Source organism: Homo sapiens, chromosome 3 (assembly GCF_000001405.40).
Source record: "Homo sapiens chromosome 3, GRCh38.p14 Primary Assembly".
Taxonomy (NCBI): Eukaryota; Metazoa; Chordata; class Mammalia; order Primates; family Hominidae; genus Homo; species Homo sapiens.
This window is the reverse complement of record NC_000003.12, coordinates 128,395,783-128,422,436: the sequence shown is the minus strand read 5'-3', so window position 1 is coordinate 128,422,436 and position 26,654 is coordinate 128,395,783. Positions and strand designations below refer to the sequence as shown.

At 58.9% G+C, this 26,654-nt stretch overlaps 1 protein-coding gene across 8 annotated transcripts in view, besides 10 other annotated features; it reads right to left on the bottom strand.

The window, feature by feature from the left end:
* The window catches only part of EEFSEC (eukaryotic elongation factor, selenocysteine-tRNA specific), a 272,743-nt gene that overhangs the window by 3,787 nt on the left and 242,302 nt on the right, over window positions 1-26,654 (bottom strand). For 7 of the 8 annotated variants that reach the window (NM_001437809.1, XM_024453693.2, NM_021937.5 and 4 more), the window contains one exon: window positions 13,791-14,368. The exons of the other annotated variant lie outside the window; for it this stretch is intronic. In NM_001437809.1, coding sequence (NP_001424738.1) covers window positions 14,178-14,368 — 191 coding nt within the window. In that variant the 3' untranslated portion in view covers window positions 13,791-14,177. Of the gene's footprint in view, window positions 1-13,790; window positions 14,369-26,654 lie in introns of those variants that run through there. 8 annotated transcript variants of the gene reach the window in all.
* Window positions 4,862-7,262: a transcriptional cis regulatory region, noted in NCBI's record as "candidate enhancer chr3.3679 targeted for multiplex CRISPR interference". NCBI's record gives its function as "positively regulates GATA2 gene expression with high confidence in K562 cells {active_cell/tissue: K562}" and the evidence as "EXISTENCE:mutant phenotype evidence [ECO:0000015][PMID:30612741]".
* Window positions 8,088-8,155: a transcriptional cis regulatory region, noted in NCBI's record as "candidate enhancer chr3.3678 targeted for multiplex CRISPR interference". NCBI's record gives its function as "positively regulates GATA2 gene expression in K562 cells {active_cell/tissue: K562}" and the evidence as "EXISTENCE:mutant phenotype evidence [ECO:0000015][PMID:30612741]".
* Window positions 8,621-9,916: a transcriptional cis regulatory region, noted in NCBI's record as "candidate enhancer chr3.3677 targeted for multiplex CRISPR interference". NCBI's record gives its function as "positively regulates GATA2 gene expression with high confidence in K562 cells {active_cell/tissue: K562}" and the evidence as "EXISTENCE:mutant phenotype evidence [ECO:0000015][PMID:30612741]".
* Window positions 8,793-9,594: an enhancer, noted in NCBI's record as "H3K27ac-H3K4me1 hESC enhancer chr3:128131686-128132487 (GRCh37/hg19 assembly coordinates)". NCBI's record gives its function as "activates a minimal SCP1, AML or CMV promoter by ChIP-STARR-seq in naive and primed H9 embryonic stem cells {active_cell/tissue: H9 hESC(naive and primed)}" and the evidence as "EXISTENCE:reporter gene assay evidence [ECO:0000049][PMID:30033119]".
* Window positions 10,650-10,835: a transcriptional cis regulatory region, noted in NCBI's record as "candidate enhancer chr3.3676 targeted for multiplex CRISPR interference". NCBI's record gives its function as "positively regulates GATA2 gene expression in K562 cells {active_cell/tissue: K562}" and the evidence as "EXISTENCE:mutant phenotype evidence [ECO:0000015][PMID:30612741]".
* Window positions 12,492-13,140: an enhancer, noted in NCBI's record as "H3K4me1 hESC enhancer chr3:128128140-128128788 (GRCh37/hg19 assembly coordinates)". NCBI's record gives its function as "activates a minimal SCP1, AML or CMV promoter by ChIP-STARR-seq in primed H9 embryonic stem cells {active_cell/tissue: H9 hESC(primed)}" and the evidence as "EXISTENCE:reporter gene assay evidence [ECO:0000049][PMID:30033119]".
* Window positions 14,322-15,203: an enhancer, noted in NCBI's record as "H3K4me1 hESC enhancer chr3:128126077-128126958 (GRCh37/hg19 assembly coordinates)". NCBI's record gives its function as "activates a minimal SCP1, AML or CMV promoter by ChIP-STARR-seq in naive H9 embryonic stem cells {active_cell/tissue: H9 hESC(naive)}" and the evidence as "EXISTENCE:reporter gene assay evidence [ECO:0000049][PMID:30033119]".
* Window positions 20,032-20,825: an enhancer, noted in NCBI's record as "H3K4me1 hESC enhancer chr3:128120455-128121248 (GRCh37/hg19 assembly coordinates)". NCBI's record gives its function as "activates a minimal SCP1, AML or CMV promoter by ChIP-STARR-seq in naive H9 embryonic stem cells {active_cell/tissue: H9 hESC(naive)}" and the evidence as "EXISTENCE:reporter gene assay evidence [ECO:0000049][PMID:30033119]".
* Window positions 21,621-22,415: an enhancer, noted in NCBI's record as "H3K4me1 hESC enhancer chr3:128118865-128119659 (GRCh37/hg19 assembly coordinates)". NCBI's record gives its function as "activates a minimal SCP1, AML or CMV promoter by ChIP-STARR-seq in naive H9 embryonic stem cells {active_cell/tissue: H9 hESC(naive)}" and the evidence as "EXISTENCE:reporter gene assay evidence [ECO:0000049][PMID:30033119]".
* Window positions 22,416-23,210: an enhancer, noted in NCBI's record as "H3K4me1 hESC enhancer chr3:128118070-128118864 (GRCh37/hg19 assembly coordinates)". NCBI's record gives its function as "activates a minimal SCP1, AML or CMV promoter by ChIP-STARR-seq in naive H9 embryonic stem cells {active_cell/tissue: H9 hESC(naive)}" and the evidence as "EXISTENCE:reporter gene assay evidence [ECO:0000049][PMID:30033119]".

Here is a 26,654-nt window from a genome sequence, read left to right as displayed (position 1 = left end):
TGTGGCATTTCTAGCTGCCCTCGAGCCTTTCTGGACAGAAACACTGCCCTCCATCCCTCTGACCCCGGGGAGCCATGATCCCCCTGACAGAGCAGTGGGGCTCTTCAGAGAATCCGAGGCTCCATTCACTCCTGAACGTATGCAGGAGCCGCCCCATGCCAGGCTACCCAAGGCCTGCGCCCAGCTTTCTGGAGGTGACAGTCCTGCCCTGTTGGCACTGCTAGAGTTCTAGGGAGCCAGGGTTGGGGCTGAGATGCCAGCCTCAGAGCACTGGCCCAGGCTCTGCAGTTGCCCCAGGGCCATAGGGACAGGCAGATCTGTAGGTCTGGAGGCTGAACTGGGACCCCCCAGAGGGTTCAGAGATGGCTCTGGCTGAGCGCCCAGCACCGTGCTGGGCAACTTGGTCTTCACGACTGCCCCAGAGCTGCTGTTTTTTTCCACAAACCACCTGTATGAGAGAATTCTTGTGCCATCTGAAATGGAGTTATCAGTCGGCCGGGGGAGTGCGGAGGGAGCTCTCTGTCCCTGGAGGAGTGAGCAGAGGCTGCACTAGAGACACATGGCAGCCACTGGGCCCAGCCCAGCTCCAGGGTAACCGGGGCTGAGACCCTAATGTGGTCCCCTGGTCCTGGGCTTCCTGGTGCCCACAGGTCAGCCAGGCCAGAGGTGGGCCGAGGCTCAGGGGGCCCCTCAGTCCTGTGGCGATGGTGAGATAGGCCCAGGCCACCAGGCTGCCCGGAGGAATGCGCCCCCCCACCCCGCTCATAAACCTGCTCTTCCTCCTCCCTCTGTGCACCGGGAGGTCGTCCAGAGGTCACCTTCGGGAAAAGTCGGCACAAGAGGCTGAATGGGCAGCTCCAGGTGTTCACAACTATGGGGCTGTGGCACCAGCAGCTGACCTGGGAGGGCCACAGGTGCAGGGGTGCAGGGACAGACCCAGAGTCAGGTCCCGGAGACTGTGCACAGCCCAGAGCCCAAATCCCGGTTCTTGGGACCCCCCTTGAAGGCCCCACTCTGAGCTTGCACAGGCAAGATCTGAGGAGACTGCAGACGGAGGTGCCGCTTCCTCCTGACCCCCCTGTTCACACCTGACCCCCTCGTTCACGCTGGGATACCAGGGCAAGTGCAGGGTCGCCCCAGCTGGAGAGGCAGAGCCTCTGCTGCTGTGGGCAGGTCCAGCTTGCTCAGAGGTTGTGCAGGCTCCAGGCCTCTGAGCCCAGACTGGTAACCCTGCCCTGCCAGGGCCTCAACAGAGTGTGGGCCTGGAGGGGTGGCTGGTGAGGGGCCTTTGGCACACCTTGCTGGGGACAAGGCCCCGGGGACAAGGTGGGTGGCTAGAAATGCCACAGGACAAAGCCTGCCACGCTGGCTCCTGGGGCCCAGGATGGGGTGGGCTCATGGTCCCTCCTGGCCCTGGCCAGCCCTATGATGCTCCCAGGCTGGGCAAGGCCTCTGTGAGGCCTGAGAGCCTCCTTGTCCCGAGAGGTGGTGGGTCCGGATGGCAGGTCCCGGACAGGTGCAAGGGCCGCCGCTTCTGGAACCTGCATATGTTTCCAAGCCTGAGGTACCCCCAGAGGAGGGGGCACAGTGGGGCCTGGGCTGGAGGGGAGCACCCTGCTAGACTCCAGTGTGTATTTCCCAGCTCAGGGAGCCCAGCCAGGGTGGCAGGAGCAGGGGGCCCTGGAGGGAGGGAAGAGAAGTATTGGGGCCCCCACTTCTCCCCTCCGGTACTGTCCTGTCATCTTTCACTGGGGCTCTGCATATCAGACTCTGCTTCGGGAACTGGGGAGTCCTTCCCAGGAAAAGGAGCTGATGAGGCCTGCAAGGAAAGAAGGACGTGGAGGGCTCGTCAAAGGTGGTAGAGGCCTGATGGGCCTGGCCTCTCTCAGTCCCATCCAACTGCAGGGATCCCAGGCGTGGAGGCCTGTGTCTGAGCAGGGCGCCCACACCTCTGTGCCAGCCAAGGAGGCAGGTGGTCCAGGCTGTGCCCTCTCCTGGGAGGCTGTGGGCTCAGGCCCTGAGGGCGCCCCCAGCCCACCTGCCAGGGTTGAGCTTTCCTCCCAGCAGGGACCGTTCTCACATGTGCAGTGAGGAAGGAAATTGCAAATTAATCTTTATTTTCATCTTGGAAGAAAACCTTAATTCTCTGCATTGAAATGATCCTCGTCATCCGAGGGAATCAATTATGGGCTTTAATTGCAGTCAGTTCTGACCAATCCAAGCAGGCGGAGCCACGCGCGTGTGTGACAGCCTCCCTCTCCTGCTCTGCGCGGGGCCTCTCTGACTCTCTGTCTGTTTTCTCTTTGTTTCTCCCCCTCTACTTCTTTTTCTCTCTGTCTCTCTTTGTGTCTGTCCCTTTCACTCTTTCTTCCCGTCTCCATGTCTCTGCGCCTCTCACTGTCTCTGTCTCTCCTGGCCTTTCTCTGTGTTTCTGTTGCTCTCCCTTACTCTCACTGTCTCTGGGTCTTGGCTGTCCCCCCTCCCGCTGCGGCCATCACAGGACTCAGGAGTGAACTCCTAGGCATGACAAACCCCATGGGGGTGTCTGAACCCCAGGCCTCCTCCTGCAATCTGTCTCTGGCCCCAGAGCTACGGCTTTTGAGGGTGGGATCCAGGGCAGCCACAGAGATGTGTCGGGGCCTCACCACACAGGGCTAGTCTTTCATTAACTGACTAGAGACCTGGTCTCCAGGAAACAAGGGCTGGGTGGCTGTGAGCAAGGAGGTGCCGGTGTGGCTCTTATTCCTGCACACCTCTGGGCTGCACAGAACCTTTCCCTCGCTCACCTCCAGTTTGTGAATAATGCACAGATACAGTCTCTGAACAAAATGAAAACATAAGGCTGAGTGCCCTTTTCCCACCACTGCCCTTCCTAACCCCCCTTGCTGGCAGCTCCTGGTGGTCAGTTTGAAGCACATCCTTGCACGCCTTTCTCCATGTAGTTAAATATCCATGCCTGCATTCACAGAACACACAGTATCACTTTGTGGAGTTTCTGTTCAATGTAAACAGCATCATTCTGCACGTATCCTTTTGCAACTTTTTTCACCTGTTTTCAGGATTTATCCACAGGACACTCAGACTTCCTTCCTTTACCTATTGTTGAGTATTTCACTCTATGGCCACACAGCACTGTTTCAGTGTCCACACCACTACTGATGAACATTGCCATTTTTTTTCTCCTGTTTCAGGCAGGACTGCCACCAGCAGCCGTGCCCCACTTCTTTGTGCACACATGTGAGTGAGTGCTTGTGCTCATGGGGCCCATGCATTTTTAATTTAATAGACGTGGCAGCTGGCCCTCCAGAGTTGTTGTGTGAAGTCCACTCCTAATAGCATCAAATTCCCACTGCCCTCACTCTTCACCAACACTTGATATTATCAATCTTTAAAAATTTTTACCAGTTTGACCAATGCAAAATGGCACTTCCTTGTTGCTTTAATTTGTATGGGGATGAAGAGCATTACTGACTGGGATGGAGTCAGGGAGGGACATGTGATGTCCCCTAGTCTTGAGGGGATGGCACAGAGGGGCCCAGAGAGCAGGGGCAGAGGCAGAGGTCCAGAGACAGGGTGAGGAATAGCAACTGATAAGTTGAGGGGTGACCAACCCCAACTCAGTGCCTGCATGTGCCTCATTCCAAATCCTGGTAGCAGTGCTAATCAGAGGTGCTAGGCATAGTCAGGGTGCTAGGCAGAGTCAGGGCACCCCGGCCACAGGGGTGCTGGGCAGTATCAGGGATGCTGAGCACAGTCAAGGGTGCTGGGCAAAGTTGGGGGGTGCTGGGCAGAGTTGGGGTGTGAGCAGAGTAGGGGGTGCTGGGCAGAGTGGGGGCAGGGAATGGCCATCACTGACAGGCTCCCTGTGGCTGTATGTGGACAGTCTGTGGGGCACGGGGGATGCTAAGGTGTGATCCCAGGGAGTAGCCTGGCCTGGGGTGGTGCAGCAGAATGGGGGAAGGTCAGATTGGGATGTGTTGGAAGAAGGCCTGGGCCTTGCTGGTGTGGGCATGGGGTGGTGGGGGCAGGAGAGGAGTCGGGCAGAGCCGCCTGCTGTTGGGAGCACAGAGGAGGCACAGGTGGGTGCGTGGAGTCCTGGGGAAACAGCCAGGCTGGAAAGGCAGATTTGAGCCTTGGCAGAGACACTGCATCTGGGCTGTAGATTTGGAGCAGGAGGTGAAAACTGCACTTACCGAGGGGCCGTGAGCTGGGTCATGAGCGGGTGCAGACAGGTGAGGAGGGGGTGCTGAGGGAGCAGGACTGGACGAGGGCATCAGCGTAGGCAGAGGGAGGCGCAGGCCCAGTCTGGTCTGGGGACTCCAGTGGTGGGCACGTGGTGGGTTTGGGAGGTGCCGGCCACATCCTAGAGTCCAGAATGCCGAGGTAAGGGCTTGGATTTCACCCTTTGGGGAGCGGAGGAGTGACCCAATCAGATGGGAAGGCCCCTGGGGCCATAGGGTGGGCTGGCAAGGCTGGGGAAGGTTGGGAAGGCCCCCGGGTCCTGGCTGGGGGCTGAGAATGGGGGTGCTGGCTCTGTTAGGTCAGCAGGGAGCACTGGGCACAGGACCTGGGGTGCAGCATGGCACCTCAGCACATGTGAACCGGAGTGCACATGCCCTGTCACTGTTGATGAAGGTCACCGTGGTCTGCAGGCCAGGACAGTGTGGCCAGTAACAGTTACGGCAATAATGAGACCAGCTCCATTTATGGGGACCCTGCATGGAACAACTCACTTAATTCCCACTGGCCCGAGTGCTCCTGTGTGTGGAGCGCCAGGCATGTGCTGGGTGCTCTGCCTGACACTGGGACACAGCAGTGAGCAAAAGGACAGAAACCCCTGTCCCTAGAGCCCCCTTCCCATGGGAACACTGGCAGTAAATGAGGTCGACAGGCAGAATGCTGAGAGTGGGAGAGCCCAGCTAGAAAGAAGGGTGAAACAGCGGGTGGGAATGTGGATTTTTACTGCGGGGCTGGGGGCAATGGGGCTGCTCAATGAAGAATGGGTGGGGAGCAAGCTGGGGGCAGCGGGAGCTGTGTGCAGAGGCCCTGAGGCGGGAGGGAGTACCTGGGACATCCAGGAGCAGGGGCTCCCTCTCCTGAGGCTGGAGACCTAGGAGGAGTGGGGAGATGGCAGAGGAGGTCAGGGAGGTCGTGCAGGGCCTGGGGGTCATGGTGAGGACTCTGGCAATTGCCCTGAGGAAGGTGCGGGCGAGAGGGTTTACAACAGAGAAGAGGGGCCCTGACACGTTTTAACAGGATTCTCCGGCTGCAGCCGGCAGAGCAGGAGACCAGGGTGAGGCAATTGTGATGGTCCAAGCAGGAGGTGATTGGGTCTGGCTGGGCTGGTGGCCATGGGGTGGGGGCTGACTGATTCGGGACAGGCTTTGAAGGTGAAGCAACAGGACCTGCTGCTGGTCAGGAACCCTGCTGGGACAGTGAGAGGCATGGCTGACCGCACCCACCACGATCGCTCTCTGAGTCACAAAGCAGGAACCCGCGGCACCAGGCTTCTGCAACAGAGGGAATGTGTGGCCTCCCATGACACAGGGGTGAGCTCCAGGCATAGCTGGATCCAGGGCTCAGATGGGGCCAGCAGGAACCCATCTCTTCATTTCTCCATTGCCCTTTCTCGGCATGGCCCTCACCCCTTTGTGCTGTGGACCTCATTCCCTTCGTGGGGACAGGATGGCTACAGTGGCTTCAAGTTCATGCTGTCCAGCTCTGCAACCCCGGCAAGAAGAGAGAGCCCCAATGTCTCCAGCAAAAGAACCCCATGACATGCTAGGCCCCTTCCACAAGGACACACCCACCTGTCCTGTGTGTCCCCTGCCACCCCACTCCCACTCTGTCACAGCCCCAACTTCCCATAAGCCTCTCTCCTCACCAGCAGTTCATTCTTTCAGGGACAAGCTGCTGCACCTGGAAGAAGGGGCGGGAGATGGGCATGGTGTGGGGGTGCTCCAGGCAGGGGCATGGCCGAGCAGAGACGGAGGGGGACAGGGCCTGGTGTGCGAGGGAACCCTGAGGAGACTGCGTGTGGAGCTGGGCGGGGCTGAGGTGGGATTGGAGTTGGAGCTGGGCAGGGCCGCTGTGGGGAGGTCCTGCAGGGTGGGCCAGGCCGGGGCCCTGCTGCACTGTGTCGGCAGCTGCCCAGATGCCTTGGGGAGGGCTGTTGTGCCCCCAGGGGCAGGGTGGGCCCTGCCCAGAACCAGCAGCCTCTGTGTTCCCACCCAAGATGTGGGTGCTTCTCCGGTGGGCCCCTCCCCCACCTTCCGGCCACCGGGAGATGCTTGTCTGTCTTATCATCGGGGCCTGGTGACTCTGCAACCGTCTCTCCTTATCGGCAGCCCAACCAGCTGTCCATGGTGGGAGGCAGGGCTGGGCCGCAGCCTGGTCAGTGTGTCCACACAGGCACCCAGACCCTGGTCCCCAACGCCTGCTCTGTGCCAGGACCTGGCAGGCTTGGGCTAGTCCTTCCCACAGGCATCAGCTGGCAGCAGCCACTTCCCCCCAAAGGTTCCCTGTGCTGGGGGACTGGGCAGAGGACCAACCCCTCCCCTGCCTCAGTTTCCCCTCTGTGAGGAACTCCAGGAAGCAGGGGTCCCAAAACCGCTCCTCTCCTTCCCACCCATCCATAAGAGGCCGGCCAGGAGACCTTCCTTGGAGCAGCACTGTCCTTCGGGTGGCACAGGACCCAGAACCTGCTTCTCTTCCTCCCACCCTGCCCATCAAGAGCCATCTGTGCGAGAGCCCCGAGGTTGAGGGAGAAGCGGGCTTGAGTGGAGCATGGGCCCCGGCGGCGAGGGCAGCATCACCAGCAAAGGCCTGGAGACAGAGCAGGGCAAGGTGGCAGGGAGACCTGGGGAGGCCTGGCCAGTGCGGGAGTGGATCCCCCCACGGTGAGCACTGGGGCAGTGAGGCGCTGCTGACTATTGGCTATCTTCCACCCTATCATCGCTCTGCATCTGAGGCGGGTTGCCTCATCTCATGCCACACCCATTACACAACTTCCACCCAGAAGCGCCCTGCTCACTTCCTTCGGAAGCCTGCCTGAGGCTCCACCCCACCACCCTCTTCCCTGGGCCTGGCACCCATGGCCCATGGGCATCTCAAGCAATGCCCACCTTCCCTGGCCCTGCATGTCCTCTTGTGCCCTGGCACCGCAGAGCCCTCCCTGGGCCCGTCTCTTCTCTAGCTCTATCCCTCCCCATGGCCTCAGGATCCCATAGCCTTTGCTGTGCCTGTATGCCAATGACCCATCTCTGCGTCCACCCAGACCCAAGACACAGCTGTCCAGGGAGAGGCTTTCCAAGCCAAATTCCCCAAGGGTATCTGAGTTTTGGACTCAGCAATTCTGCAGTGAAGCTTGCCAAGGTGTCTTGCCCACCCCATCCTCTGCAGGGTTCCCATCTCTTGTGCCCAGCAACTCTGGGCAGAGGCTGGCCAGGGACCCTGGATCCCCTAAGTCTGGCCTCCCCTCGATCATCCAGTCAGTGCCAAGGCCAGCTGATGTAGCTTTGGGATCATCTTCAAATCTGCCTCCTCCTCCTCTTTACTGACTCCAGCCATGGCCCCACTCGCACCCCATTCCCTCTTGCCCGAGCCTGGGCATGGCGTCTCCCTCCTGGCAAACTGTGTCATGCTCCTCCCTGTCGGCCTCCAGACATGTCTTCCCCAAACCAATCTGAGCAGGTCGCTGGTGATGCTGATGATGATGGCGGTGAAGTTAGTTACGCTATGAGGTGATGATGGCATTGACGTTAGTAGTGACGTTAAATGATGGAATGATGGTGAGCTTAGTGATGGTGGTGGTGCTGATGACAGTCTGGGGACAGTGTGGGTAACTGGCTTGGGAGAGTCTTTCTTGGTAATTAACCGGGAAGGGATGGGGAAGGGTCAGGAACTTGGCCTCTGTAGCCTGGTCTGAGCCCCAGCTCTGGAGTCCTTGGGGAATTTCCAGGGCCTCTGCCTGGGCCTCTGAGGAAGGCCTGGCTCCGCTCCCCCCTTGCCTTTCTCTACCCCCAGCTCAAGGTCCTCTGGGTCCCTGCGTCCTCAGGTACCCTAGAAGGAGCTGAAGAGCTGGGAGCAGGGAGGGCCCTGCAGAGAGTGGCTGCCATGGGGGCAGGCCCAGGGTGGAAGCTTGGGAGGGAGGGAGTGGGAGGAGAAAGCTCCAGAGAGCCCCGGGGTCCACTTGTAGGTAACCACACCCCACAGACCCTCCAGCCTGCCTCTACCTTGGTAGGTTGCCCGGGGGTCCCAGATAGACATCACTCTAGGGCTGGGGCCCCAAGCCTCAGGGCATGGACAGGGAAGAGGTGAACTAGACGTTGGCGGGAGGCAGGGTTGTCCGTCAAGGACCAGAGAGAGGCAGAGGAAGTGATGGCAGATGGCAGTGAAGACAGGCGGGTCGGAGCTGGAGGACCAAGCGGCTGACTGGAGACTGCCTTGGGCCCAGCGGCCCCTCGGCGGCCCTTTGCTGGGACACACTGTGCTGGCCACAGCTCCGTTGCCTCTGTGCCTCTTCAGGTGGCTCCACAGGACTGGCCCTGCCAACGGGGTCTCCTCCCACAGGTGATGTTGGGCTGTGCAAGCCTTGCAGGGGAGACGGATGCTGGGGCCCGCCAGGTGGTGGCTATGTGGGATGCTGGAGGCTCGGGGCCGAGTCTATGGAATGACCTTGGGGGGTGAGGCCTGGCACCGTGCCCCAGGGCCAGGTCAGCCTGGGCTCCCAGCCAGGCCTTGACCTAGAGGCCTCACCTGTGGCTGTGGGATGTGGCCGTTTCTCTCTGCTGCACTGTCTCCCTCATGGGGGCCAGTGATAACGTGGGGGGAGCACGTGGGGACTGAGCAACACCTCATTCAGGGCTCCAGGGGTGTGGCCATGTGACCTACAACCTGCTGGCCTGGGTGGGCCAGGGGTTCGGGGCCGGCCCGACAGCCTCCTTTGCAGAGGGGGCCGCAGGCCACACTGCCAGGTGGGAGGTAGTGATCTAGGGTCCATGCTGTCCCTCCCAGTGCCCTCTGAGGTCCCTGCACTGGGCTTGCCCCAGGGAGCACAAGGCTGGGATGCGGGCAGGGTCTCCGTCTCCCCCACTGGTGCCCCAGCACAGTGGCAGGGCCTGTACCCAGGAGGCCTCATAAATATTCGAGCACTCAACTTGGGGCCTCTTCCCAAACGTACCTCTCCTCTCAAGTTTCACCTCTCTGTTTTCAATCCCCGAGCCTTCCCAAACGTCCTCTTCCTCCCAGGCCTCAGCTCGGACTGTCCCCTCCCCTCGGCTGCCACATCCAATCACCAACCACTGGTCCCAGGTCCTCTCCAACCCATATGGCCTCTGCCCCCTGTTTGTGTTGGGGGTGGGGGAGCCCTGACCTCCAGGCCCTGCCATTGGCTCCTTCAGGAGGCCAGAGGGGTCTCTTGAAACCCCAACTGGACACCATGCCCCATCCCCCTGCCTGTGCCCTTGTGGGGCTCCAAGGCCTCCCACACCCAGCAGACAGCCTTCTAGGCCTCCCTGGCTGCCCGAGGTCCGGCCACATTGTTCATAGCGCCCCCATCACCTCCCCGAGCATCACCAGTGCTCAGCAAAGGGAATGGAGCCCCTGTAGAGCCTTGCGAGCCCCACTCCCAGCACCCACTGCTGCCTCCGCCCCAACTCCCAGCAGCCAAGCCTGGTGCCGGCTGAGCAGGCTAATTAATGGCTCAACCCCGTTATCAGTCAAATGCTAATTACTCTTTTTAATCTGGGCTGCCTGTGTGGAGGCTCCTGGAGGTGCAGCAGGGGCTGGGGGGTCTGGAGCTATGACCTCATCCCTCCTCAGCAAGCAGGCACACGGGCCCCAGCGAGCACTTCCTCGCCACAGCCTTCACTCTGCTGTTCCCTCTGGCAGGTGCCACCCTTCCTTGCCCTGGCAAACTCCTACTCTCCCTTCAAGACCTTGCCCATGCAGCCCCTTGGCAGGAGGCCTCCCCAGTCCCTGCCTCAGAGGACAGACAAGGCTGAACTAGGAGCTGGGAGGCTGTCAGCGGGGCTGGCCTTGGTCTCTGGAAGGGAATCTGGAGATGCTAACCCCCACATGGAGGCTGCTCGGCAGAGGAGGCCAGGGCCGGGACCAACTCCAGAGTGAGCTCGGACTGACAGGCTCCTGCACTCCCCAGACAGGGGTCTGGCCCTGGTATGCTTCCTGTAGAATAGAGTGATAAGCCTCCCTTGAATCCCACCCAGTCCTGGAGAAGAGGCCCCACTAACCTGCATGCCCTTTGCCCATGGGGCAAACTAGCACTGGATACACTGGAACTGAGGCACATTTTACACATGGGGACACTGAGACATGAGGTTAGGGAACTTGCCACCACCCTGTGTACACTGGACTCGATCCTCCTTCACCCCACTCCCACACCCAAAGAGATACACACACTGACAAACACCGCAACCCTCCCAAAACACACACGGAGCACATGCAGACACGTCTGAGACATCGCGGATCCATGTGCACAGATGCACACCCAGACGTCAGCACAGGCTTGGAGATGCCTGGTGCACCAAAGCCCGTGTGCGCACATGCACATGCATGGCCAGGGCAGGAGGCCTGGGAGCACGGAAGCTGCCCCTTCTCCTGCCCCAGGCCCCCAGGGCTTCCCGTTTACGAGACGTTATCTATTGAAAATATATTAACCCAGAAGCCTGTTTCCATCAGAGTCTCGATTCCAGGGACATTTCCAGATAAGCCTTATCTCTTCGTTTGTGCATTAGCCCTGCTGGTCGGGGGCCTGCCAATCACCGCTGCCCCTCCTGCCCCAGCCCATGGCAGGATGTCGGTCCATGACCTCACTCCATGTGGGCAGGCAGGTGAGGGGGCCCAGGGCACTGCTGCCCCATGCCCCACCCCACCCATCAGCCCACAGAGGACCCCAGAGGGCACCTCTTTTCCAAGGACACGCCTGAAGCACTGGTGGGCAAGGGACTCTGGAAGAACCTGGAGCCTGGACTCAAACTCCAGCTCTATCTGGGGCAGCTGCAGGCAGCCAAGCCCTGCCCTGCCCACACCCCTGGGAAACCGGCATGCTGCTGCCACATCACTGCTGTGGGTAGATGAGCAGATTCGGTGAGTTTACCTGTGTCGGTGGCTGCAGTGAGCTTGGCCCACTGGAACCCTCTCCTACATAAAACACGCGGGCCTGGGGTTGCCCAAGGCATCCTGGGGGACGGGGGAGCCAGGGAAGGGGACGTGCATGCCCACACCTTGGCCTCAGCCAGAAGCGGGTGCTGGCACCAGCTCCTGCCCACCGTCCCGGCTAGGCTGCACCTTCAAAGGCTGCGCGCCCTGGCCCGACCCCACTAATGGACGCTCGGGTTTCCACCGATGCCGGGCCTGATAGAGGCCTCTCCTGGGGCAGTCGGCTGGGCGTTTTCAGGCCACACAGAGCAGGTCCGCCTCATTACACACTCAGGGCGCTCAGAGGCTCCTGGGAGTCGCCCTGGGCTGCCCCTCCTCCCTTCTGTGCCTCTGTGCCTCAGTTCCTCCACCCGAGCCCCCTCCTTCCCGGGACTTTGAGGAGCACGGTCTTCAGACCAGTAGGGAGGTGAGAGGTGGGGTGGAGGTGGACGCCTGCACAGAGTTCCTGGAAAAACGGCTTATTTGGGGCTGGTGTCACTTCCTGAGGGGTTCTGGGCCTTTTGCCTCTCAGTGGGAGATGTGTGGGGCCCACCCTAGGGCCGCAGGTAATGTGGGGTCAGCAGTGTGCCTGGCAAGTCTCCCACCCCCAGGGCAGCCCTCTGGCATGGCTGCTTTTCTTCTTCCATTTTATACATGGGGACACTGAGGCATGAGGTTAGGGAACTTGCCCAAGCTCACACCGCAGGCAGGGAGAGGCCTGAATCTGTGCCCTGGTGGCGGCAGCCACATTCGCCCTGTGTGCTCATCTTTCCTCCACACCTGATCTGGCCCCAGAGCCAGCTCCCATGGCTCCCATGGAAGCTCCCATGGACAGCTTCCATGGAACCCCATGCTTGGCACAGTGGTTCCACTGGGTCACATCACCCCTCATTTAGAAAGGGACAGTGACACACCCAAGGTCACCCTGCCCATGCAGGCCAGGACCTGGGGCTGAGCTCAGAGCTTTCTGTCCCAATGTGCAGGGACTCTGAGGGGGCTGGGGAGGGAGCGGTCAGGGAGGGTGTGGCCTGGCTCCCAGCTCAGCCCCACACTGAGGAGGAGGGAGGTTTCCTCGCCTAAGAAGTGAGTCCTTGGAGCTGGGTTCGGACCCAGTGCTGGCCCTCACCAGCAGCTCCCAGATCTGTGCTGGGAGGTGACCAGCCTGGACAGCACTGGCAAGTGCTCAGAGGGGCCTCTCCTGCCCCCAGGGACTGACAGGCTGGGGGCTGTGAGCCCAGCTCGGTGCTGACTGAAGCCCTCCTGGAGGTCTGCTCCCTTCTTGGGCTGCCCTCCCCTGGGGGACCAGCAGGCTAGCAGGGAGCCTGGTGTGGGCTCAAAGCTGCTGCCAGTTTCCTGGGCGGAGTGGCCTCAGTGAAGTGGCACTGCCTTCCTGGTGAAACAGTCTGCAGGGCCAGGTAGGGTGAGGAGGCCGTGGGGCACAGCACACAGTGGGGTCGGGGCACAGCACACAGTGGGGTCAGGCCCCAGGGAGAGGGGCCACTGCAGTCCCAGGAAGTGTCTGCTCAGGCAGCGGCAGTAGAGGGGGAGTCGGCTCCTAGGCAGAGGGCTGTCCTGATTCACAGTGCAGACAAGCCGCCCTGGCACCCGCAGCCTGCAGCAGCCGCGGAGGCCACGCTCACCGGGGCCACACTCTCTCTCACGTTCCTCCAGGGCCAATCCCCTCAGGGGACTGAACTGGGAACCCCACTTCCCCATGGCTCTCAGCTGTTGCCCTTGACTGCTGCTCCAGCCCTGCTGCCTGGGTCTGGGCCAAGGTTGACGAAGGGTGGCTGGGCCAGTCGCCATCGCTGGTATCCTTGCAGCTCGGGGGCTTTGCTCTGCTGTTGGTGTATTTAATTAACTGCCTGTTCCCCACCCACCACGTGCACACGGGACACACACACACACACACACACACGGCTCTGGGGCTTAACAGGCCCAAGTCATTTGATCGAAACCTGCCCCTGTTAATATTTTTAATGCCATTTGCAAATTAAAGCATAATGCACCGATTACTGGGATAAAAGGGAGGCCTCTGCGTCTGTCTGGAGACCAAATAAAGGAACGTTTGAACATCTGTTCATCCTGCAAATGTCTCTAAAAGCTTTGATTTCCCCTCAGTCTGTTGACTCCACCATTCACCCCTTCCTGAGTATCCCACAGCCTGGGGCTACAAGGCAGGGTGGTCTGTGGGTGCAGGGGATGGCAGATGGCTCTGCAGGGTGCCCTCACCATGCTAGCCTCCACTTTCTGGGAAGTATGTGGTTCTCAAACTTGAGGGCAGGGGCTGAGGGACTCCTCGTGTTGGGGTGGAGGAACAAGCCTCCACCTGCTCTGCCTGATGCTCTGGCCAGGCACCCTGCTATTCCCCAACTTCCCTGTGGGTACCTTCCCTGGACCCAGCTGCCCAGAGAATCCCCATTCTCCCTGAAGGCCCAGAGCGCCCCAGGAGCCACCTAGTGGGGTTGAGAAGCGCAGACACTCTGCAGACTCCCACAGCCTACAGACTCTGAGTTTGGGTCCCTTCCCTGGCCCCGACCTGGGCAGGAACTCTTGGGATTTCTGAGATTCCCCTTGGAACACAGCTGGGGAGGGCGGCGGACCTAGTGAAGTCACAGAGAGAGAGACACCAGTAGAGTGGGCTGGGGCCACGGGACATTTATTTGTAGCCATCAAGTGCCTGCCCACCTGGGGGAGGGTTGAGACTGGCCTGCAGGTGGCCAACAGATGGGGCAGTGGAAGATACTGGCTACCAGCCCTCTGCCCATGGCCCTTTCCTAGTTGGGCTGGGGGCTGTCCTGGGTGGGAGTGTGCAGGGGCTGGAGGAGAGACCCTCCTGGCCCCAGCAACCCATCCCCCTCAGCTCCTCACCAGGGCTCAGCACCAAGCTTGGGGGTGGGGGCTGCTGCTGCAGGACTGCAGGGAGAGACTGGGAGAGGCTGAGGCGTGGCTGGTTGGGATTTGGCACAGCAGCCTGGACTGGGCTGGGCAAGGAGGCCCTGGGGGAGGTCACCGGACACTCAGGGAGACTGAACCATGCGCTTGTGGGTGTCGAAGACATAACGCTTGAAAGTCAGGCTGAGCACCACATGCTGTGAGGGCTCGCTCCGCTCGGCGCTCTCCTCCTGCCTGGTGGCCTCCCCACGGCCAGCCCGGGCCCGCTTCTTGAGGGCGGGTGTCAGGATCTTCTTGGACTCGGGGCTGAGGCCACCTGCAAGGCACAGAAGAGAGCCTGTCACTCTGCCGTACCCCAAGCACCCGTGGGCTCCCTGCCCGCGCACCTGCTGCCTAGACTCACCCCTCTTCTGCCTCCCTCCCTAGCCAATCAGCCCTGAGGCCTGTGGTCCATTCTGACATTTTGGTCCCTCCGGCACCCATCTGATAGGTGTACAGCAGGGCACTGTGCCTCTTGGGGCCTCAGCTCACCACCCCCGTGCTCAGGCCCTGGAGGGACTGCTGCTCTGTGCCGAGTGGTCCATTGCTTTCCAGTGCACTCATGCCAAGTCCACGTCTGGAAACTCGGCATCTGAGGCTCCCTGGGTGGGGTACTCCCTGATTGCCTCTGGAGACCCATTCTCCACTTCTCCACCCTCTTGTGTGCCTGGGAGGCTGACCCCTGCAGACAGCACGACCAGGTTTAGCAGTGGAAGCCCCAACAGGCCAGAGTGTGGGAAGAGAGGGCAGTCAGGGTGTGTATCCCTGGCTCCCTTTGGCAGGCAGGACCTGGGCTGCCTTCACCCCCACCTGCCCTCAGTGGGATATGCAGGCTGCATACCCAGCTGCCCCAGTAGCAGTCCCAGGAACCACCACCCGCTGGGGCTCCCTGCCCCACGCCATTCTCACAGTGCCCCCTCGGCTCAGTTTGCCACTGCCCTGAGAGCTTGCTCCCATCAGGACACCCCAGTGGGGCCATGGGGCTCACAGAGTCAGTGGCTCATCCCGGGATCCTCTGCCAGGGGTATACGCAGCCCCGCCCCCAGGCTTGGGTGGGTGCAGCCCCCACCGCTTTCCAGCTACCTCTATGAGTTGCTTTAACCAGCCCACGCCTCACTAAAGACCTTTTGTTCAACTCCCTCCAGCTGAACACCTGAGTGGAAATTTGTTTTCTGCTGATGCCCCGACACGCACCCACTCCAACACCTCCATCTTCACCACTCTCTGCCTTTGTGCACCGTCTCTGCAGCCCTGCTGATCATGGCCCATTCCTGGGCTCCTCATTGCACATACAAGCCTGTCACGTGTTGTTCCCTCTGCCTGGAACACCCTTCCCATTCTAGGCAATAGAAGTCCCACTCATCCTTAAACATGCTGCTGCAACTGCCCTTTCTCTGGAGCTTGTCTTTTTCATTTTTAAATTGACAAATGACAAACTGTGTATATTTATAGTGTAATATATATATATGTATGTATATATATGTATATATATGTGTATATATATATATTTGTGTGTGTGTTGTGTGTGTGTGTGTGACAGGGTCTCACTCTGTTGCCTAGGCTGGAGTGCAGTGGTGTAATCCTGGCTCACTACAACCTCTGCCTCCTGGGCTCAAGTGATCCTCCCACCTCAGCCTCCTGAGTAGTGGGGACCACAGGCTCGTGCCACCATGCCTAGCTGATTTTTTGCATTTTTTTGTGGAGATGGGGTTTTGCCATGTTGCCCAGTCTAACATGATGTTTTAATATATGTATACATTTTGGAATGATTAAATCAGACTAATTAACACATTCATCACCTCACATACTTATTTTGGTGATGAGAACATTTAAAATCTATTCTCTTAGCAAATTTCATTGAATATTACACATTGTTATTAATTACAGTCACCATTCTGCACAGCGGATCTCCTGAATCGATTTCTCTGGTCTAACTGAAACTGTGAACCCTTTGACCAAGATCTCCCCATTCCCACCCCAGCCTGCACCCCCAGGCTCCCACAACCACCCTTCTACCCTCTGCTTCTATGAGTTTGGGTTTTGAGATACCACATGTAAGTGAGATCATCAGCATTTGTCTTTCTGTGCTGTGGGGCTTGTATTCATGAGGAATCTCCTGGTGGCAGCATGGTGCAGCCTCCATGTGGGCCACTGGCCAGGGTGAGACCACTTAGCAGGCTCCTCTGCATCTGTGGGAGTGGGTGGGCCCAGGGCTCGGAGCAGTTCCACCCCTGGCAGAGCACCTCAGTGTAAGCACTCACTCTGTGAGCCTCACAGCCCCACTGGGGGGTCCTGGTGGGAGCAAGCTCATGGGGACACTGTGAGAGTGGCATGGGACAGGGAGCCCCAGTGGGTGGTGGCTCCTGAGACTGCTGCTAGGGGCAGCTGGGTATGAAGGCACTGAGGGCAGGTGGGGGTGAAGGCAGCCCATACCCTGCCTGCCAAGGAGGTGTCCCACCAGGATCCCCTCCCCATGTGCACAAAGGGCCTGTACAGGCTGGGAACCTAGAGGACCAGAGCAGGGAGGAAGCTGGGCAGAGGCACAGGCAGAGGGCCCAGCTTCCTATGTGCCGTTGGCACCTGTGCCACTGCACCTGCTGGCACCTGAAGAATTTTCCTCCCTTTTCCCAGTCCTGCCCAGTACTAGCTTCGTCCCTGAAAAGTCAAGGCAGCTATAAGGCTCGCACATCAAGCTTCAGTCCGGAGGGCCCTGGCCTGTCGTCTCAGACTGGGAGCGCTGGCTGGCGGGGCTGTGTGGGTTATTTCTGGCTCAGTTTCCTGAAGATGTTGGCCACCCCTTCTTTATACGGATGAGAAAATGAAGGTCTAAGAGGCCAGTGACTTACTGGAAGCCCCACAGTGAGTTCAGAAGAGCCAGGATTTGAGCTACAGCCCTTACCCAATGGCAAAGCCAGCTTCTGCTCTCCACTCAGAGTGATGGGTGGGGGATACCCCTTTCAGAGGGCTTCTGACAATGGTTCTCAAGGCTGTGAGAGCATCGTGCACTGGCCCTGCAGCTCTAGATGTTTAAAAAGGTGACAAGGGCTCATGCCTGGAATCCTAGCACTTTGGGAGGCCGAGGTGGGTGGATCATGAGGTCAGGAGATCAAGATCATCCTGGCTAACACGGTGAAACCCCGTCTCCATTAAAAATACAAAAAATTAGCCGGGCGTGGTGGCGGGCACCTATAGTCCCAGCTACTCGAGAGGCTGAAGTAGGAGAATGGCATGAACCAGGGAGGTGGAGCTTGCAGTGAGCCGAGATTGCGCTACTGCACTCCAGCCTGGGCAACAGAGCGAGACTCAGTCTTAAAAAAAAAAAAAAAAAGTGACAAGGGTGCTGGATAAAGAGGCCATCTGTAGAGTCAGCCAGGGACAGCCTGCCCCACTGCACAAAGGGTCCGGTCTCCCTCTGGCAGGCGGAAGTGAGATTACTGGCCATCTAAAGCCTGAGTCCCCTGGGAAGACTGAGGACATGCAGCTGATATGAACGGGGCTCCAGAAGCCAGGCCCTTGCACGCCTGCCTGAGGGACATGTGACACTATGGCCTTGGGGACCTGCATTAAGGAAGCGCTCCCTGTGAGCAGCATACCTTACTTGGAGCCTGAGCGGTGTCTGCTCTGCAGGTTCCATACCTAGGTGGTCTGCCCCCCGCTTGGGATGGGGCACAGAGTGTGGGCATGGGGAGGACCCTGGCCAGTCCCCTCAAGTGAGCGCCTGGCCTGTAGGTATCTGACTCCCTGAATCAGAGCCTGGCCTTCCTTCTGCAAACAGAGCAGGTAGCTGGCAGCAGACCCCGACAAATGGCATGGGCAGCCCGTCTCCCTCTGGTGCCAGGAGGTCTGGAGGCTGAGAAGGCGTGGGGCTCCCCGGCGTCTGTGCTGGGCTGGGGAGACAGGCGTGGCCCAATCGGCAGTCCATCTCACCCGCGATGGCTCTCGTTACACACAATGCATACCTCGCACTGCCCGGAGCAGGCAGAGCCGGAAAGTCTATCTGGCACTGGTGAAGATGTGGCCATTTAATTGCTCTCCTGAGATGGTCAGGCTCGTTTACCTCTGCTCTATTATGGACTGGCCGGGAAGCCACACCTGGAAAGCCTGACCAAAGGGAGACCTGGACATGGGGCAGCATGGATTTGTGGCAAATGTCACCAGGAGCTGCTTTGTTTTCCCAGTGGCCTTTTTTTTCCTTTCTTAGCCATGTGGCAAACATAGGGAAGTGAAGAGCAACCCAGGTTGTCACGTGGTAAGAGCTGCTACCCACCCAGCCAGACTCTGCGGGTCCCACTCTCTGCTTCTCGCAACCTGCCTCTGTGCCTTTTCACTTAAAAATATTCAGGGAACATGCCAGAACAGGAGATAAATAGTGGTGAATGCACAGACCAGGGCCCAGCTCCCATGCAGTTTACTCATCTAAGAAGGCACAGACAGTGAACAAGGCAGCCAGATCTCCAGACAGCAGAAGGGTGGCGAAGGAAACAGCACCGCAGTCACTGTGTGGGGACAGGGCTGCTTCAGCATGCTCCAAGGGAGGAGGAGGAGGAGGAGGAGGAATGCTGGACCCAAGGCCAGATGACGGGGACCAGCCATAGATATTGCTGTCACGGATCCACAGGCAAAGGGAATTTGAGTGACAATTCCTAGGGTATGCGAGAGGCGCTGAGGGCAGATGAAGGCGTGTGCCATGCGTGGTGCGGTACGAGGGCCTGGCTCCAGGGTGACCACAGCTCACCATGTCCACACGGTGCCCTGTGTGCCAGGCTCCCCATTCTGACTTGGGGTCAGAGTACGCGGGAAGGCGGTGACAAGGCCACGTGCTGAGTGCCGACTGCCCATCTGCCTGGTGTCTACCTCCTGCAGGCCCTGTGTCTCCAAGGCAGGCAGGACAGGGCCTGCTCTGCCACCCGCTCTGCTAGGACCTACGCTGTCAGGGAGGTGCAGTCCTGCCCCCATCTTCCTCCCTGCACTGGGGGCTGCTCTGGACCTCTGGCCTCTGCTTGCCCCTGGCTCACAGCCCCGCCCCTGTGTCAGCCTCCTCGCTGCCCTTCTGCACACCTGGCCTGTCTCTGCCTCAGGGCTGCTGTCATTGCCAATCCCTCTGCCTGGAGACCCACCTGGGAGGCACACCTGGCCTGTCTCTGCCTCGGGGCCCCTGTCTTTGCCAATCCCTCCGCCTGTGGACTTGGGAGCTCCGGCAGCTGCAGGTTCACTTTCTTCGAGTCACTGTACAACTGTCACCTCTTGGTGAGGCCTTTGTGACCCCCTTGTTTAGAACTACAACCCCCTCATGCTCCCCTGACCCCCTCTCACCCCACTATTTTTCCTATAGCTCTTATCACCTTCTAATGTCCTCTATGATGTCCTTGTTTTGGGTTTGTTGTCTGCCTCTGCTGAAATGACAAGCTCCACCCTAGCAGGGAGTTTTGTCTATTCACTGTTGTAACCCTAACACCTGGAGTGATTGCTGGTGAGTGGCGGATACTCAGAGAACACTCTCCAAATAAGCGTTGGAGGAGACCCTGCTGGGGCTGAGGGGCAAACTGCTCTGGTTTTCCAAGAACCTGAAGGGCAGCTGTTTAAGCACTGGCTGGTGACAACCTGGGAGGGACAAAGTCCTAGATGGTCACAGTGTGAACTAAGAAAGGCACTTCTAGGAATTCGGTCCAAACAAGTGGTCTGAGATACGGCAGAAGATTTCTACACAAAGATGTCCCCACAGCACGGAGGTACTGAATCCTCTCGTAACACCGTGTTGAGGAAACAGGCACAGAAGAGTTAGTACCTTGCCCAAGGTCACACGGCTATTTACAGGCAGAGCGGGAACGCCAGGCTATCTGATTCCCAAGCCCGTTTGCTTACCCACTAAGGGAGCGGCACGTTTTTGAGAACTACAAAGGGCCTCTAAGACCAAGGGAGGCCAGCAGACCCATCCAGCATCTATTTGCTGCAGCAAAATGTTCTGTGGGACTAAAAGTGATACCTGAGAAGAGTTTAAAGTTACACAAAGAAAGACCTATGTTATAATGCTGATTCAAAAAAAATGCAGCAATCAAAATTTTTGGAAGAATTCTGCTGCAGCCCTGGGATGAAGGGAAAAGAGACCGGAAGACTGTCCATTTGGCTGTCAGGGGTCGGGAGTGGGTTGCAAGCACTGTTCCTTCTTTCTTCTTTTATGTATTTCCCAAGGCTTCTACTGTGACCCTGGGTTACTCACAGGGGGATGTCTATTACAGGCCCCCCATCACTGTGGCCTCCGGCATCCAGCTGGGAGCCCAGAGAAGGCACGGTGCCTACCGGTGCAATCTGGCTGGAACCTGCTCAATCCATGGCACACAGGAGCCGGGGAGGGGAGGGAGGGCCAGAAAGCTCGCTGACATCTCTAGGCCCATGGTGCTGTCTCTGCCATGCTCTGAGTCTGCCCAGGAAGGACAGGGACAAGAGGTAAGGTAGGGGTGGTGATGCTCATGACTCCTCCATGGCTGCTGGAAGTTCAAGGTCCCCACACTGCTGCTCTGCTGCTTGCATCAAGGGCAACGACTGGGAGGTGTGGGCGCAGGAATCCACCGTCCTCCAGCCCTGCCTCGCTGCCTCCTCCCTCATCCCACCTGGCTATCCCAAGGATTGCTCTAGGGTCCGGGTCAGACATCTAGACCTGGCTCCACCAACAGAAGCGTCTATTCTCTTTCTGGCCTCTCTCTCAGCCTCACCCCTCCTCCCTCTCTGACGCCATCATGTACCATGCTTCAGCTATAAGAAGCCAAGCAGGGCCTTGGAATGTGTGGTTCCCTCTGCCTGCCATGCTCACACTCTGATGCTGCCCCTTGGGAAGGTGCCCCTCAGCTGCCCAGCCAAGTGAGATCCTCCTGGGTGCCCTGCCCAGCACCACTGTGGCTGTCATTGCCTTATATGCCTGCCTCCCCCAGTGGCCTGTGAGGGGGCACCTCTCCAGGATTGTGTGCAGGGCCTAGCACACGGGCTCAGGGAGGTTTGATGAAAACAAAGGGAATGAGTATGGATTCATCCTCACAAGCACTCACAGCAGGGGTGCAGGACAGCGGAGGGAAGAAAAATGCCCCAGCAGGGCAGGACCCCTGCCTCCAGGACCAGAAAACACCTGTCTGCCCTTGAGTGACCCAAGGGAGAAAGAAGTCCAGGCTCGGGTCTCAGGCTGACCTGGCCCCCTGGTCCCTCTCCCATGTGCTGGAGGGTGGCTCTCTACCTGGCAGGGTGGGCTAGGGTGTGTGTGTGCTACATGTACGTCTGTCATTCAGTAGGGCCTCTTTTTTCCCAAACCTCAGGATTCTCGGAGCCTATGGCCCTGCTCCACCCCCTGATGAACCCAAACCCCAGGATGCAGTGGGGGCGGGCGGCCATGACCCTGGGGGCAACACTGCTCCTCATGGCTTCCCGTGGAGACACTCTCCCAGGGCCAGGCTGGCCCTTTCTCACCAAGCGCCAGCTCCACACAAAGGCACAATGGGCTGCAGGCTGCCGGGTCCTGGCTTGGGCTGGGGTAATCAGGGAAGAATGCGGGAAGCACAACTGTTTCCCAAGCCCTAGCCATGGTGCCGCCCTGACATGGCCATCAAAGGCCGGCAAATTGCCTCCAATTGCTGGCGTTGCTTTCATGTTGGGGGCCAGACTGGAAGAGGGGTCTCCACGCTGGTGGGTGGCTTGCATGCCCCAGTGGGAACTGAACCCTTGCAAGCAGCTTGGGGTCACTGGCCCCTTTGTGGCCCTGTGGGGCTGGGGCCGCTCTAGTCACTCCAGCACTACCCACTGCTGTAAACAAGCAGTTTTGGAGAGGGTTGGAAGAGAGCCAGAGCCAGGGGCAGGGGATCTCTTTGGGGTCAGCATCCTGGTGATGACTGACAGCTGGGAGCCTAAATGGCAGGTGGGGCTGATATATGGGATGGCCAGGCTGGACAGCCACAGAGGGCCTTGGATTCAGCCAGGCTCCAGTCTGAACTGGATACTGGGCCCTAGGAACAGGAGGGGCTGCCTAGCAAGGCCACCCCCATCAGCAGGGGCCATGGGGCAGCTGGGGTGGAGCCCTGTCCCTCAACAGGGTGCTGGTGGGCTCCAATGTCAAGTTCCCCTCCACCCCAAGGTAGGAAGCTGCCCTGCACAGGCCACAGGTGGTCACGGAGGTGTGTGGGTGGCACAGTGCTCCAGTGAGACCTCTAAGTCAGGGCGTGGCTGGAGGCAGGCCTGGCCAAGAGGGAGCTGCCCCCAAGGCCAGGGGTGGGGAGACAGAAAGAAGGGGGAACCTGGCAAGGGCAGAAGTGTCCCTAATGTGGGGCCTGGCGGTCATGTCTGAAACGCATGGAGGCTATGGTTGACATCAACACCCCCATCTATCAGCGGCCAGCCAGGCTCATGGAGCTGCAATGACTTGCCCTGGCTTCCTGGCAGTTGTGGTGCAGCTGAGTCTGAATGCAGACCCCTCTGCCTGCTAGCAGGGCAGGGCAGCCCGGGCCCGGAGGACAGGCAGAGGCGATGAGGGTTTAGCTCTAACACAGACCCGGCTGGGGACAGAGAGGCCCAGGAGGACAGGCCTGGCAGGGCTGGGGAGAGCCAGGTGGGCAGAGAGAGCCAGTGTGAGCGCTCCCTGAGAGGGGACAGCCCTGACACCAGTCTCCTCTGTGAGCAGTGACAGCGACTCTGGAATCCTCCAGCCACCTCTTTGTCAGGCTGGGCTCTTCTGTTTTCCTGGGGAGCTAAAGCCTTTAACGTCGCTGGCTGGGGGGGGCCGGCTCCTTGGTTTTCTCTCCTTCCCTCCCAGCTATGGATCCCGTATGTAAACAAAGATGCAATTTGCTTTAAAAAGATAAGGTGATTAAGTTTTTATCAGACCTGTACTCTGCTGTCCCTGCAACAAAAGGAATTAGGGGGAAGCAGGCGGCGGAGCGGGCCCTTCGCAGGAGCCTCGCTCTTTCCGAGGCTCTCAAGCGCGCACTCGACGGGCTCATGCACCCCTTTGATTGGGCGGAAGCGTAGGCAACCAGCGCCCCGCACCCCCATTTTGATGTCTTAATGTTGCCTAATTCCTCCTTTAATTTACATTAAGCTTCTTAGCAGCAATGATGAATTCTTCAAAAACAAAAAAGGGCCCTTTGCAGAAATCTTTCCCGCACCATGTAAATTGAAATTATCATGCAGTCAAAGCTGTGGAGATTGGGGAGCGTGGGGAGGGAACACCAGTGCATTATGCGGATGGAAGGGTTTTTTTTTATTTTATTTATTTATTTATTTATTTATTTATTTTTTAAGGCAAAAAACAAATCCATTCTGAAATAGGCAGAAAATGACTTGGCCCTGAGTCTCAATTATACAGGGAGGGGCAGCCTCTGCGGAGGAAAGTTTGTTGTCCTAAATTCTCAGTCCCTCTGGGACTGGCTGGACCAGCTGCCTCCTGAAGGGGCTGCTGCAGGGATAGCCCCCATCCCTCATCAGCGGAGTCTCAGCCTACCCCTCTGGAATGGGATCCCCCACCCTGTGGAGTGGCTGTGAGGCCTCCGTGAGGTGCATTCCTAGTGCAGCCAGCCCTGCCCCAAAGGTTACCTTCCTTGCTGTGCAGGCCAGAAGCTCAGGCTGGGGCTCACACAGCTGCGAGTGGGGCGCCTGCCCAGCCTCTCGGGACAGCTCAGAAGGTGGTTTGCCACAGGCTCCTTGGAGGCTCCTGCTCTAGGTGTCCCTGCAGGCCCGGCAGGGGCAGGTCCCTGCCCCAGGGCCCGGACACGGGGCTCCTGCACATGAGTGGCCAGGACCCTCTCCCACTGGTCTGTCCTTAGTGCTGTTGCCAGAGATTCTTCTAGGACAAAACCCCAACATTCCTCTCAGTTCAGCTGCTCACTGAAGACCTCTTCAGTCCCTCACAACCACTCAGACAGGGTCCCAATTCCTCTAAGGAGTCCCTCAGAAGCTGCCCCTACAGCCCTGCACATCCTTACCACACATTCCTCTTCCATCTCAGCACTGCCCCAGCCTCGGGACTGGCGCTCCCTCGGCCTGGGGAACCCATGACACTTGTCTATCTTGCCCGCTTCTGTCTCCCTTGGCTCTCTCGGCACAAGGCTCTGTAGCATCTTGGCTTGGCCTTCTCTGACGCCTGCCCAGCCTTCCCCTAGGGCCAAGGCCCCCCACACTCTGCCCTGAGTACAGATCCAATGCCCCCAGAGATAGTCAGGGCCTGCACAGCCCAGCAATGCCAGGAAGGGGCAGTATTGGTGACCTCAGCCCGTGTGCACCCCACCTCATCTGCCAATGGGGTCAGAGCTCCCCCACCCACCTTCTGGGCTCCTCATCACCCTCCTCCAGGCTGACAGCCTCCACAGGGTCCTGTCAGTGCACAGAGGCTGGGGGGTGAGCAGGTCTGCCGACCACCTACCAGCTGGGCTGATGGCAGAGGTGGGAGAACTGGACTGCACAGACTTTCCTGTCATCCCTGCAGGCAGTGAGCCTGCCTGCCCAGAACTAGGAGGAGGAATCAGTAGGGAGGCCTGGGCCTGGCCCCTTCCCTTGGGGCTCATGCCCCCCATCCATGGGCCAGAGCAGCTGGGTGGATGCCCGACTCCTCCGTCCAGAGAGAATAAGACATGCACTTGATGAGTAGAGGCCAGCTGGGCCAGAGCTGAGCTGCTTCAGTGGCAGTTTCCGGAAGGTGAGCCTGTGCATCTGTGCTTCTGGGGACCCTTCTGGCTGGCCCTGGGCGGGGCTGAGGTTTGACAAGTGTCTGGATGGGAAGGACACTGGACTGCAGCCCTGGGCAAGCTAGGCTCTGCAGATTGGCAGCTGGGATGCGGCTTGGCCAGAGGTCCCCTCTGCTGCTACCATTGCCACCCTCATAGTGACTGCCTTTCTAGCAGCCTCCTCCAAATGCCTCCCACTCAGCCAGGGGCTGCAAAGACATCATTTTATTCCAGCCTCAGGACATCCTACAAGTCACTTTACAGGCAGGCCCAGTGGTTGCCTGGGGTCACAACAGCTGGGAAGCCAGGGAGCAGCGATTCCCATCCAGGCCCCAGCTTCACAAAGCTGTCCACCCTGCCACGGGCCTGAGAGTCTGGCTACAGGGAATACAGCAGCCTGGATGGCAGTGCCATGGGTGGGGGGCAGCAGGGGGCTGCAGCCATCTCCTGTGGAAGGAGGGAGGATGGCAAGAGACAAGGGTGTGGGATCAACTGGGGACTCCCCCAACCAGAATGATGTTTCTTCCCACCCAGCATCTCCCAGGCCCAGGGCAGTGGGGCTGAGCCAGGTGGGGCCTTGTCTCCAAACACTTCCAGGGCAGAGGCCCAGGGTGCCTCTGTGTTGTGGGTACCAGTCGGGGGACCATTGGCAACCAGGACTGTGGGCTGCGGGGCCTTGCCACTGTGGAGACTGGCACTGAAAGCAGCCCAGATGGCCAAGAGGGGGCCTGACACAGAAAAGACCATCTTGTGTAAGGGAGGTCTGGCCCAAAATGCCCAAAAATGGGCACCAGCCAGTTCTCAACAATCACAGAAAGAACCCCAGTAGCAATCACAGCTAATGTTTGCTGCACCTTTACAGGCTAGGCACCATTCCACATGCTCCACAGACAACAGCAAACCTCAGTTCACAATCATGCTATTCACACACACCAGGAAACTGAGGCACAGAGCACTCAGGAACTTGCCCAAGGTAACACAGCAAGAACGTGGTGGGCCTGAGCTCAAACCCTTCACAGCACCACAGCCTCATGCCCAGTAGGCCATCCACCCTCAGGAACCAGTCCCAGCTCTCAGCAGCTGTGTGTCCAACTCCTGCATGGATGGGGGCTTTGGGAGGGCGGAGACGATCCCATTTGACAGTGTGTCCCAGTGCCTGGCACAGGGCTTGGGGTAGGAAGGATCAGAAAAGTGCTTTCTGTGCCTCAACTCATGTGAGGAGGGTACATTATCCACTCCATCATTGAGAGGTAGAAATGGAGGCCCAGGGACACAAATTGATGTGCCCAAGGTCACACAGTCAGTGGCAGAGAAGAGATCACATGTCCTCGCCAGTAGCTGGAGAAGCCCAGCTTCCTCTCCAGGTAGCTGGAGCTAGAGGAAGGGGCTGTCTCTCTTCTCCACTAGCGCCGCCAGCTGCCACCCTGTGCCTGTACTGTTGGTAAGCCAGGCCTGGTCCATGACATACATACACACACACAAACCACACACAGATACACATGTGCCTCTAGAATGAGGGACCCCCTAGAGGGCAGGGCCATTCCTTCAGCAGGTTCTGTTTGGTTGGAATGGTGGCTGTCCAGGCCATCTCAGGTCCTGAAGGCAGGCCTTGACACCTGCAGGGCAGGCAGGGATGACAGTGGTGCTGTCAGAGCCTGAGCTCTGTGCTCATGGCTGGGGTTTGGACACCAGGCTTGGTGACACAGCAGCTTGACTGGCCTGCTCGGAGCTTTGGTTTTTTCCTCAGTTGGGGTGAGGGATGGTGGGAATAAGACACATGGCCCGGCTCTCTCCAGGAAGCGCTTGGTAAAGAGAGGCCACTGCCATTCTGATCATGGCTGTGGCTGAGGGTGCTGTATCATTGTGTCT